At 50.8% G+C, this 12301-nt stretch overlaps 1 non-coding gene across 1 annotated transcript, besides 3 other annotated features; it reads left to right on the top strand.

The window, feature by feature from the left end:
* Nucleotides 4632-5141: a silencer, noted in NCBI's record as "silent region_20583". NCBI's record gives its function as "represses an Ori minimal core promoter by ATAC-STARR-seq in GM12878 lymphoblastoid cells {active_cell/tissue: GM12878}" and the evidence as "EXISTENCE:reporter gene assay evidence [ECO:0000049][PMID:35858748]".
* Nucleotides 5502-5581: a silencer, noted in NCBI's record as "silent region_20582". NCBI's record gives its function as "represses an Ori minimal core promoter by ATAC-STARR-seq in GM12878 lymphoblastoid cells {active_cell/tissue: GM12878}" and the evidence as "EXISTENCE:reporter gene assay evidence [ECO:0000049][PMID:35858748]".
* Nucleotides 6572-6781: an enhancer, noted in NCBI's record as "active region_29345". NCBI's record gives its function as "activates an Ori minimal core promoter by ATAC-STARR-seq in GM12878 lymphoblastoid cells {active_cell/tissue: GM12878}" and the evidence as "EXISTENCE:reporter gene assay evidence [ECO:0000049][PMID:35858748]".
* Nucleotides 11384-11483, top strand: LOC124902353 (small nucleolar RNA U13). Its single transcript, XR_007061927.1, has one exon. It is a non-coding gene; the product is annotated as a small nucleolar RNA U13 (small nucleolar RNA).
* The last annotated feature ends 818 nt before the right edge of the window (nt 11484-12301 follow it).

Below are 12301 nucleotides of genomic sequence, written 5' to 3'. Positions count from 1 at the left end.
TTAGCATTCCTGTTCCTGACTGGATTTTTTTTTTTTTTTTTAGACAGGATCTCACCCTGTCACCCAAGCTGGAGTGCAGTGGTGCAATCTTGGCTCACTGCAACCTCCACCTCCCGGGTTCGAGTGATTCTCCTGCCTTAGCCTCCTGAGTAGCTGGAATTACAGGTGCCCGCCATCACGCCCGGCTAATTTTTGTATTTTTAGTAAAGACAGGGTTTCACCATTTTGGCCAGGTTGGTCTTGAACTCCTGACCTCAGTTGATCTGCCCGCCTTGGCCTCCCAAAGTGCAGGGATTACAGGTGTGAGTCATTGTGCCCAGCCTTTTTTTTTTTTTTTTTTTTTTTGAGACAGCGTCTTGCTCTATCACCCAGGCTGGAGTGCAGTGGCATGATCTCAGCTAACTGCAGTTCCAACCCCCCAGGCTCAGGTGAGCCTCCCACATCAGCCTCCTAAGTATCTGGGACTACAGGTGCAAGCCACCATACCCGGCTAATTTTTGTATTTTTTTTTTTTTTAGAGATGGGATCTCACTGTGTTGTCCAGGCTGGTCTTGAAGGTCTCAAACTCCTGAGCTGAAGGGATCCTCCCACCTCGGCCTCCCAAAGTGCTGGGATTACAGGGTGAGTCACCACGCCCAGCCACCTTTTATTTCTCTTCTTGCCTGAGAGGACTGTATAGAAACCCAGCACCGTGACAATATAAATGATGAGAGCAGACATCTCACCCTGTCTCCAGTGCTACTGGAAAAGCATTTAAAACTTCCCATTTTTCCTGGCCAGACATGGTGGCTCATGCCTGTAATCCTAGCACTTTGGGAGGCAGAGGCGGGTGGATCACCTGAGGTCAGGACCAGCCTGGCCAACATGGTGAAACCCTGTCTCTACTAAAAATACAAAAAAAAAAAAAAAATTAGCCAGGTGTGGTGGCGGGCACCTGTAATCCCAGCTACTTGGGAGGCTGAGGCAGGAGAATCGCTTGAACCCTGGAGGTGGAGGTTGCAGTGAGCTGAGATTGCACCATTGCACTCCATCCTGGGCAACAAGAATGAAACTCTATCTCAAAAAAAAAAAAAGTTACCATTTTCCTAGTTTGTTAAAAATATTTATTGTAAACAGGTATTGGATTTTGTCAAATGCTTTTTCTGTATCTCTTGAGATGATAATGTAATTTTTGTGCTTCAGTCTAGTAACTTAGTACATAACATCAATTCATTTTTGAATATTAAAACCTTACATTCCTGGCCAGGTGCAGTGGCTCACGCCTGTAATCCCAACACGTGGGAGGCCGAGGCAGGCGGATCACCTGAGGTCAGGAGTTCGAGACCAGCCTGGCCAACATGGCAAAATCCCATCTCTACTAAAAATACAAAAATTAGACAGGTGTGGTAGCTACTCAGGAGGCTGAGGCTCAAGAATCACTTGAATCCAGGGTGGGGCAGAGGTTTCAGTGAGCCGAGATCGCGCCACTGCACTCCAGCCTGGGCGACAGAGCGAGACTCCGTCTCAAAAACAAAACAAAGCAAAACAAAAAACCCAACAACAAAAATCCTCAAAATGTTCCTGAAATAAATCCCACTTGGTTACGATGTATAATCCTTTTTATCTTTCCGGATTCTGTTTGCTAATAATTTGTAGTGAATTTTTACATTGATATTAAAGGAGGATATTGGTGTGTAGTATTTTTGTGATATCTTTCTCTGGCTTTGGTATTAGGTGAATATGGACCTTATAGAATGGGTCGGAATTGGAATTAATTCTATCCGAAATTTTTGGTAGAATTTACTAGTGAAATTGATTAGGCCTGAGCATTTTTCTTTTTCTTGTAGAAAGATTTAAAATTACTAACTCAATTTCTTTATAGCTATATTCAGATTTTTTATTCTTTGGGAGTTGGTTTTGGCTATTTATTTATTTATTTATTTATTTATTTATTTATTTTGAGACAGAGTTTTGCTCTTATCTCCCAGGGCTGGAGTGCAGTGGCCCGATCTCAGCTCACTGCAACCTCCACCGTTCATGCAATTCTCCTGCCTCAGCCTCCCGAGTAGCTGGGATTACAGGTGCCCGCCGCCACGCCCGGCTAATTTTTTTGTATTTTTTTGTAGAGATGGGATTTCGTCATATTGGCCAGGCTGGTGTCGAACTCCTGACCTCAGGTAATCCTGAGGCCCATCTCGGACTCCCAAAGTGCTGGGATTATAGACGTGAGCCACCGTGCCCGGCCAGCAATTTATATGCTTTAAGAAATTTGTCCATTTCATCTAAGCTGCTTGATTTATTGACATAAAGTTGTTCGTAGTATTCTCTAACAATCGTTTTGTATCTGGAAGGGCAGTAGTGATAGCCCCTCTTTTATTCCTAATTTTAGTTTTTTCTTGGCCAGTTTAGCTAAACATTTATCAAATTTGTTGATCTTTTCTAAGAAACAACTTTTTAAGAACTTTCTTTCTTTTTTTTTTTTTTTTTTTTTGAGACGGAGTCTCGCTGTGTCCCCCAGGCTGGAGTGCAGTGGCCGCGATCTCAGCTCACTGCAAGCTCCGCCTCCTGGGTTCACGCCATTCTCCTGCCTCAGCCTCCCGAGTAGCTGGGACTACAGGCGCCCGCCAACACGCCCGGCTAATTTTTTGTATTTTTAGTAGAAACGGGGTTTCACCGTGTTAGCCAAGATGGTCTCGATCTCCTGACCTCGTGATCCGCCCGTCTTGGCCTCCCAAAGTGCTGGGATTACAGGCGTGAGCCACAGCGCCCGGCCAGAACTTTCTATTTCAGGCCGGGTGCGGTGGCTCACGCCTGAAATTCCAGCACTTTGGGAGGCCGAGGCAGGTGGGTCATGAGGTCAGGAGTTAGAGACCAGCCTGGCTAACATTGGTGAAACCCTGTCTCTACAAAAATTAGCTGGGTGTGGTGGCAGGCGCCTGTAATCCCAGCTACTCCGGAGGCTGAGGCAGGAGAATCGCTGAATCCAGGAGGCAGAGGTTGCAGTGAGCCAAGATAGCACCACTGCACCTACAGCCTGAGCGACAGAGAAGACTCTGTCTCGAAAAAAAATAAGTGAATAAATAAAAACTTTCTATTTCATAGATGTTCTGTTGTTTTTCCGCGTTCTAGTTCACTGACTTCCTTTTTTCTTTCTTTTTTTTTTTTTTGAGACAGTCTCACTCTGTCGCCCAGGCTGGAGTGCAATGGTGTATTCTCGGCTCACGGTAACCTCTGCCTCCCAGGCTCAAGCAATTCTCGCGCCTTAGTCTTCCGAATAGCTTGGATTTTGTGTGTGTGTGTGGGGGGGGGGGGCGGGGGGGACACGGTCTCACTCTGTTGCCAAGATTGGAGTGTAGTGGTGCAATCCTAGCTCACTGCAGTCTCCACCTCCCATGCTCAAGGGATCCACTTTCTAAGCCTGTCAAGTACCTGGGACTAGAGGTGTGCATCAACACACCTATTTTTTTTTTTTTTTTTGAGATGGAGTCTCGCTCTATCACCCAGGCTGGAGTGCAGTGGCACGATCTTGGCTCACTGGAACCTCTGCCCTCCAGGTTCAAGCAATTCTCCTGCCTCAGCCTCCCAAGTAGCTGGGGTGCCCGCCACCACACCCAGCTAGATTTTTTTTTTTTTTTTTTGTATTTTTAGTAGAGACGGGGTTTCACTGTATTGGCCAGGCTGGTCTCAAACTCTTGACCTCGTGATCTGCCCGCCTTGGCCTCCCAAAGTGCTGAGATTACTGGCATGAGCCACCGCGCCCGGCCTTTTAATTCATATTTTTTTGTAGCGATGGAGCTTCACCGTGTTGCTCAGGCTAATTTCAAACTCTTGGGCTCATGCAATCCTCCGGGGTCGGCCTCAGTCTCCTCCCAAAGCATTGGGATCGCAGGGGTGAGCCACTGTTCTCGGCCTCACCTCTTCTAACGTTAAGAGTTTGCAGTTATAACTTTCTCTAAGCACTGTATTAGCTGCATCCTATACATTTTCATGTGCATATTTCCATTTTTATTCAGCTCAAAATACGTACTAATTTTTTGTGATTTCTTATTTATTTTTAATCTTATGAGACGGAGGCTCGCTCTGTTGCCCAGGCTGGAGTGCAACGAGGCGATCTCGGCTCACTGCAACCTCTGCCTCCCGGGTTCAAGCGATTCTCCTGCCTCAGCCTCCCGAGTAGCTGGGACTACAGGCAACCGCCACCACACCCAGCTATTTTTTGTATTTTTAGTAGAGACGGAGTTTCACTATATTGGCCAGGCTGGTCTTGAACCCCTGACCTCAAGTGATCCCCCGCCCCCCCTCGACCTCCCAAAGGGCCGGGATTATAGACATTAGACGTCGTTGCCGGGGGAGCCCTCCAAACACCCAGAAATGCCACAGCCAGGACCGTGGGACGCAGCAGAATCGCCCAAGGGGCAGGGGGCAGCCTGGCCAGAAGAAAATGAGGGAGGGGCCGCGCGTGAGGTTCGGCAGGGGAGAACACAGGCCTCCGGCGGCCACGGACGCCGCTTTGCCATTTTGAGCGTTTCTGGGGAGGACAACGCGCGCAGGAAGCGCAGTCATCTCAAGCTGACCTCCAAGGCTACCAGGTTTGAGGGCTGGAGCCGAGTCTGAAAGCCCCGACCCGCCTATGGCGCGGGGACTGTGGGTCCAGCCGGCCGCTTGGCCCCCTCGCTCGGCGCCGGTCCAGGCGCAGCGCTCGGGCCCCGGCGACGGTGAGATGCGGCGCGGCCAGCTTAGCTCGGGGTAGGGGCCACCCCAGCCTCGCCCCAGCCGGCCGGGTCCGCGACCTCGGGAGGGTCCGGTCCTTCCCTCGGCCCCCGCGACGCCGCGCCCGGGTGAGGCCCTGGGCTTCTTGCCGGTGACCACGCGGCCAGGGTGGCCCCCAGCCCAGGACGGCTACCAAGGGCGGCCCAGCCCCATCCCCGCGCCGCGGGTCCCGGAACCGAAGAGCTGGGAGCGGGCGCTCCCTGACAACATGGCGGCGGCGCCCGGGCGCCTCCCCGGGTCCCGGGTGTCTGCGTCTCCCCGCGAGGCCGTGGGCAAAGCCGGTGCCGTCCGACGACAGGAGGCGAAAGGAACCCAGGACCAGACCCGCGGGGCGAACAGTGCTGGAGGACCATGCACCGACCACGCCCGAAGCAGAACCAAGGCCCGCCCTGTTGCCGTGGCGACTGCGCGCGGGGTAGACGCAGGCGCCGCAAGCCGTGAGCTCTCAGTGCAGGCGCATAGGCTGCGGGGTTGAGGCGCATTGCGTGCGCGTGCGCGCTGCTCACACGCGGACGGTTCTGTGCGCCGCAATGGCTGCCCGCGAGTATCGGAGAGGCGGAGCTCTCAGTCTTTTACAGGACCGGGTCTCCTGATGCCGCCGGTGGTTCCTCGAGGCCCCCTTCCACGCATCCGCCGCCGCTGCTTCATCAGGACTTCATTTCGGTGACGCAGAGCTTTGGCGAGAGCTACGGCAACAGCAAGAACTGCCGGCGGCTCTTGTGCTGCAGGGTGAGGACCGCGCCGGGCGGACCGAGGCCCGGGGTCGCTGCGCCCGCCGCCCTCCCAGCCTGCGGCTCCGAGCGGGGCCTGGGCGGGCAGACTCGACTCCCCCCGACGCCGCCCTCTCCACCCTTACCCCGCAAAAAGGGGCAAATCTGCTTTCCGGGCCGGGGCAGCCGTGGTCGGCACGCCTGCAGCGGTCTCAGCGACCCAAATTCTGCGGGGCGGTGGTGGTGGGAGGAAGGGTTGGAGCCCCAGCAGGTTGTCTGGGCTTCGTTTGCTTTTCGGCAAGGTCCTGGCCCAGGCCCCAGTCCCTCTTGGAGCGGAAGCCTCTGGACCTGTTGCTCCTAAGAAAGCAAGCGGCCCCTGACGCGTTGCTGTGGCCTGGTTTGACCCTCGTAGCCAGCCCATGTTCTGTGAGGCATGAAGCGCCACGCAGACACCACGACAAAGTGAGATGAACTAAGACCTCTTCTTGATTCTAAGCAGGGAACGCACAGCTCACCCTGTCACATGCAGCGATCATAAGCTGAGAATTACCCTCTTCCTTCCCACAGCGTCTAATCTTTTTTTATGTTTTTGTGGCAAGGTCTCGCTTAGTCGCCCAGGCTGGAGCGCAGTGGCGATCATGGCCCACTGCGGCCTCGACCTCCTGGGCTCCAGCGTGCGTCTAATCTAGAACCAAATCCTCCTTCCTTAGATCATCCCCCAAATCACCCAACTACAGGTGAAATCCTGTAATAGTTTCCTCCGAACACCCTGTTGCTGAGACACCTCAACGTCTCAACCTGGTGTGTTTGTACGTAGAGTAAAAGACCCAACTTGTTTAACTACAGGCGTGTTTGCAGTGGTCTTTGGCTTAAGGGCGTTATAGACTCTCAGTCGGAGAGTCACTGAGATTCAGTTGAGACTCTCAACTCAGAGCATGCCTTTCTGAGTCCCTTTTGTGTCTGTCTCTGGGAGCACAACCTATTCTTGGCTGGGAAGAAACAGGCATATTCTTTGTTTCATTCTCCTTGAACGCCTACCGTGGCCAGTTGCCGTTTTAGTTCTGACTGCAGAGATGAATAAAACAGATTTGTAGGAGAGGCTGGTGAGAAGCCAGCCACAGACAGGCAGAGGCAGGTGGCACATGTGTACGTCCTGTGTGGAAAAGAGCAGGGCCCTGGGGAAGAACCGTGGCTGGTTCTGAGGGCTCAGCGGAGGCTGCGGCACTGAAGGCAAGATCTGAGGGCTGAGAAGCTGCTGGCACCGGGCAGGGTGGGGAGGGGGCTGACTTGAGCCTGAGCGAAACTGCCTGAGGCAAGGAGGACCTTGGCATATTTGAGACGGTGAAATTCCCAGGGCTGGGAGACGGAGTGGGGGTTGTCTCAGTCCATCCGTGGTCCTACAGGTCCTGGAGGTAAGGAAGCAGACCACCACTTTTCCTGCTGGCCTCCTCTCCCCACCTTGCCTAGTTTATAAGGCAGGAGGAAAGGGAGAAAGCAAACAGTTGGAAAGAAACAGAAGTAAGATAAATAGCCAGACGACCTTGGCGCCACCACCCAGCCCTGGTGGTTAATAATTATAATAATAATATCAGCTCCTGACCTGAACTACTTGTGTTATCTGTAAATTCCAGACGTTGTATGCAGAAGCATTGTAAAACTTTCTGTTCTGTGAGCTGATGCATAGCCCCTAGTCACATTTCCCGCGCTTACTCAATCTACCAGGACCCTTCCATGTGGACCCCTTAGAGTTGTAAGCCCTTAAAAGGGCCGGGAATTTCTTTTTCAGGGAGCTCGGTACTTAAAGACGCAAGTCTGCCGAAGTTCCCGCGGAATGAAGCCACTTCCTTTTTTTTTTTTTTTTTTGAGACGGAGTCTCGCCACTTCCGTCTTTAACCCGTTGTCAGGGGTTTTGTCTGCGGCTCGTCCTGCTACAGAGGTAGCATGGAGGGTTCAGTTGATGTGCGGGAAGATTTTGGCGTGGACTGGAGGTCTGAGATGTTTACTGTGAAACTGCTCTGGCTGGGTGGAGACACTGGAGGGCAGGAGGCCAGGAGAGCTGCCTGGCTGTGGGAAAAGCTGAGTGGGGGAGGAGGGCTCCGCAGGAGTGGGCCTTGGGAAAAGGAGGGCGGGTCCCTGGGTGGAGGGGCCAGCAAAGGCTGTGCAGGCTCTGGCTTGGGGACACTGAGGAGCTCCGTTTTGGATCTGCCCACTGTGAGATGCCTGGGAGGCGCCATGGAGACCTTGGTGGGCAGGTGGTGCCGGGATCAGAGTCTGCCAGGGGAGACAGGTTTTAGGAGTCCCTAGGTATAGATGGTTTTTGTCGTCCGGAAAGGTTGGAAGAAGGGGCCAGGCCTAGTCCTGAGTGCCACCAGACTGAGAAGATTGGGGTCAGGGAGGAGGGCAAGGGCAGCCAGAGAACCAGGAAAACATCTCATCATTGAAGATACGGTTCAGGAAGGAGAATGGCCAAATTCCAGATGCTGTTGAGAAGTAGATTTAAATAGATTGAAAGTAAAAGGATGGACTGGGCACAGTGGCTCATGCCTGTAATCTCAGAACTTGAGGAAGCTGAGGTGGGAGGATCAAGTGAGACAGGAAGTTCAAAAGCAGCCTGGTCAAAATAGTGACATCCCGTCTCTACAAAAAATAAAATAAATTAGGACCTATAGTCCTAGCTACTCAGGCAGCTGAGGCAGGAGGATTGTGGGAGTCGAGGAGTTTGAGGCAGTCATGAACTATGATTGCACCACTGCACTCCAGGCTGGGCAACAGAAAAAGACCCCGTTTCAAAATAAAAAAAAATTATTACATGATATAAGGACATTATATAGTAATAAAAGGGTCAATTCATGAACACATTATAGCAATTATAAAGATGTATGGCCGGGCGCAGTGGCTCACGCCTGTAATCCCAGCACTTTGGGAGGCCCAGGTGGGTGGATCACAAGGTCAGGAGATCGAGACCATCCTGGCTAACACGGTGAAACCCCGTCTCTACTAAAAAATACAAAAAAATTAGCCGGGCGTCGTGGCAGGCACCTGTAGTCCCAGCTACTCGGGAGGCTGAGGCAGGAGAATGGCATGAGCCCGGGAGGCAGAGCTTGCAGTGAGCCGAGATCGCGTCACTGCCCTCCAGCCTGGGCAACAGAGCGAGACTCCGTCTCAAAAAAAAAAAAATAAATAAAGATGTATGTACCAAGAACAGCTCCCCAAAATATATGAAGCAAACATTGGCAGATTTGAAGACAGAAGTAAGTTCTACAATAATAGTTGTAGATGTCACTCAACCTATTTCAGTAATGGAAAACGTATCTAGGTGGCAGATCAACAAGGAAATAGAGGGTCTGGACAGTGCTAAAATCAACTAGAAAGGACGGACACAGAACACTCACCCAACAACAGCAGAACACACAGTTTTTAAGCACACGGAACATCCTCCAGGACAGACCATGTGTTAGGCCACATATTAAAATATATTAAAAGAAGTTTTAATATATATATATATATATATTTTTTTTTTTTTTTTTTTTTTTTTGCTTTCTTTGTTGCCCTGGCTAGAGTGCAGTGGCACGATCTCGGCTCACCGCAACCTCCACCTCCTGGGTTGAAGTGATTCTCCTGCCTCAGCCTCCTGAGTAGCTGGGATTATAGGCTCCCGCCACCATGCCTGGCTAATTTTTGTATTTTTAGTAGAGACGGGGTTTCACCATCTAGGCCAGGCTGGTCTCAAACTCCTGACCTCAGGTGATCTGCCTGCCTCAGCCTCCCAAAGTCCTGGGATTACAAGCATGAGCCACCGCACCTGGCCTTAAGATATTTTCTTTTTTTTTTTTTCTTTTTGAGACAGAGTCTTACTTTGTCACCCAGGCTGGAGCGCAGTAGTGCTATCTCGGCTCACTGCAACCTCCACCTGCTGGGTTCAAGTGATTCTCATGCCTCAGCCTCCAGAGTAGCTGGGACTATAGGCATGTGCCACCATGCCCAGCTAATGTTTGTAGTTTTAATAGAGATGGCGTTTCACCATGTTGACCAGGCTGGTCTCGAACTCCCAACCTCAGGTGATCTACCTATCTCAAACTCCCAAAGTACTGGGATTACAGGCATGAGCCACTGCGCCTGGCCTATATTTTCATTTTCAAAGTTTTTTTTTTTTTTTTTTTAAGACAGAGTTTCACTCTTATTGTCCAGGCTAGAGTGCAATGGCGTGATCTCGACTCACTGCAACCTCCGCCTCCCAGGTTCAAGCGATTCTCCTGCCTCAGCCTCCCGAGTACCTGGGATTACAGGCATGTTCCACCATGCCTGGCTAATTTTTTTTTTAATTAATTAATTTTTTTTGAGACGGAGTCTCGCTCTGTCACCCAGGCTGGAGTGCAGTGGCGCGATCTCAGCTCACTGCAAGCTCCGCCTCCCGGGTTCACACCATTCTCCTGCCTCAGCCTCTCCGAGTACCTGGGATTACAGGCGCCGGCCACCACGGCTAATTTTTTATATTTTTAGTAGAGATGGGGTTTCACCATGGTCTCGATCTCCTGACCTCGTGATCCACCCGCCTCGGCCTCCCAAAGTGCTGGGATTACAAGTGTGAGCCACCGCGCCCAGCCTAATTTTTTTATTTTTTAATTTTTTTTGAGACAGAATCTAGTTCTGTCATCCAGGCTGGAGTGCAGTGGCGCGATCTCGGCTCACTGCAACCTCCACCTCCTGGGTTCAAGCTATTCTCCTTTCTCAACCTCCCAAGTAGCTAGGATTATAGGCGCCCACCACCACGCCTGGCTAATTTTTGTATTTTTAGTAGAGTCGGGTTTTCACTGTGTTGGCCAGGCTGGTCTCAAACTCCTGACCTCGTGATCCACCCGCTTTGGCCTCCCAAAGTGCTGGGATTACAAGCATGAGCCACAGCACCTGGCCTAATTTTTGTATTTTTAGTAGAGACGGGGTTTCGCCATGTTGGTTAGGCTGGTCCTGACTTCAGGTGATCTGCCCACCTCGGCCTCCCAAAGTGCTGGGATTGCAGGCATGAGCCACCATGCCCAGCCTCAAAGGTTGAAATAATACAGTATGTATATACACACACGTGGGTGCACATGTGTGTGTGTCTGTCTGCCTCCTAGGCCGGAGTGCAGTTACATGATCCATAGCTCACTGTAGCCTTGAACTCCTGGGCTCAAGTGATCCTCCCATCTCAGCCTCCCAAATAGCTAGGACTACAGGTGCACACCACCACACCTGGCTAATTTTAATTTGTAGAGATGGGATCTCACTATGTTGCCCAGGTGGGTCCTGAACTCCTTTCCTCAAATGAGCCTCCCACCTGGGGCTCCCAAAGCACTGGGATTGTAGGTGTGAGTTAGTGTGTCCATCCATCAAAGTATGTTTTTCAGCCACAATGGAATGACATTAGAAATGAGTAACAGGAGGCCAGGTGTGGTGACTCACGCCTGTAAACCCCAGCACTTTGGGAGGCTGAGGCGGGCAGATCACCTGAGGTCATGAGTTCAAGACCAGCCTGGCCAACATAGTGAAACCTCCTTTCTACTAAAAATACAAAAATTAGCCAGGCATGGTGATGCGTGCCTGTAATCCCAGCTACTCGGGAGGCTGAGGCAGGAGAATCGCTTGAATTCAGGAGGCAGAGGTTGCAGTGAGCTGAGATCGCCTCACTGCACTCCAGCCTGGGCAACAAAAGCGAAACGCTGTCTCAAAAAAAAAAAAAAAAAGAAAGAAACGAGTAACAGGAAAAGCTGGAAAATTTGCAAATCTGTGGCAATTAAACAACATACTCTTAACCAATGGGTCAAAGAAGAACTACAAGGGGAGGTAGAAAATACTTAGAGATGAATGAAGACGAGAGCAGAAACTACCAGAATGTATGGGATGGAGCCAGGTTGTGCTCAGGTGGAAATTAACGTCTGTAAACACTGATTTTTTGTAGTTCCTCAGTGTGATGATTTGGTTTCACACTCATGTGAGATGTGCTTTTCTCAAACCTTCTTACAAAGTCAGCGCCTTACCCATCTGACCCCCAAAAACACAGTATGGTCCCCCAGTTCCACTTGCCGTTTCTCTTGTCCTGACAGAAACGTAGGGTTCCTTGACCGCTCTGTGACCTAGCCAGCTGCGTGGTTTTTTTTTTTTTTTTTTTTTTTTGAGACGGTGTCTCGCTCTGTTGCCCAGTCTGGAGTGCAGTGGTGCAATCTCAGCTCACTGCAACCTCTGCCTCCTGGGTTCAAGCAGTTCTCCTGCCTCAGACTCCCAAGTAGCTGGGACTACAGGCGCCCGCCACCATGCTCGGCTAATTTTTGTATTTTTAGTAGAGTCGGGGTTTCACTATGTTGGCCAGGCTGGTTTTGAACTCCTGACTGGGTGATCCACCCGCCTCAGCCTCCCAAAGTGTTGGGATTACAGGCGTGAGCCACCGCGCTGGCCCCAGCTGCGTGTTTTTTCCACATGCTTTTAATCCCAGCTACTCGGGAGGCTGAGGTAGGAGAATCACTTGAATCCAGGAAGCTGAGGTTGCAGTGAGCCGAGACTGAGCCACTGCACTCCAGCCTGGGTGACAGAGGTAGATTCTGTTTCAAAAAAAAAAAAAAAAAAAAAAAAGAACAAGATGCCTGCTTCACCACTGCTATTAAATATTGTACTGAAAGTCCTGCCCAGGGGCAATTACATGAGAAAAAGAAATAAGAGGCATTCAAATGGAAAAGAAGGAAGTAGAACTATCTCTATTCACAGATAACATGATCCTACATATAGAAAATACCAAAGAATACACAAGAAAGCTACTAGAGTTAGTAAACAAATTCAGTAAAGTTGCAGGGCGTAGTATCAACAAGAAAATC

Source organism: Homo sapiens, chromosome 9, assembly GCF_000001405.40.
Source record: "Homo sapiens chromosome 9, GRCh38.p14 Primary Assembly".
NCBI lineage: Eukaryota > Metazoa > Chordata > Mammalia > Primates > Hominidae > Homo > Homo sapiens.
This window is presented reverse-complemented; position numbering and strand designations above follow the sequence as displayed.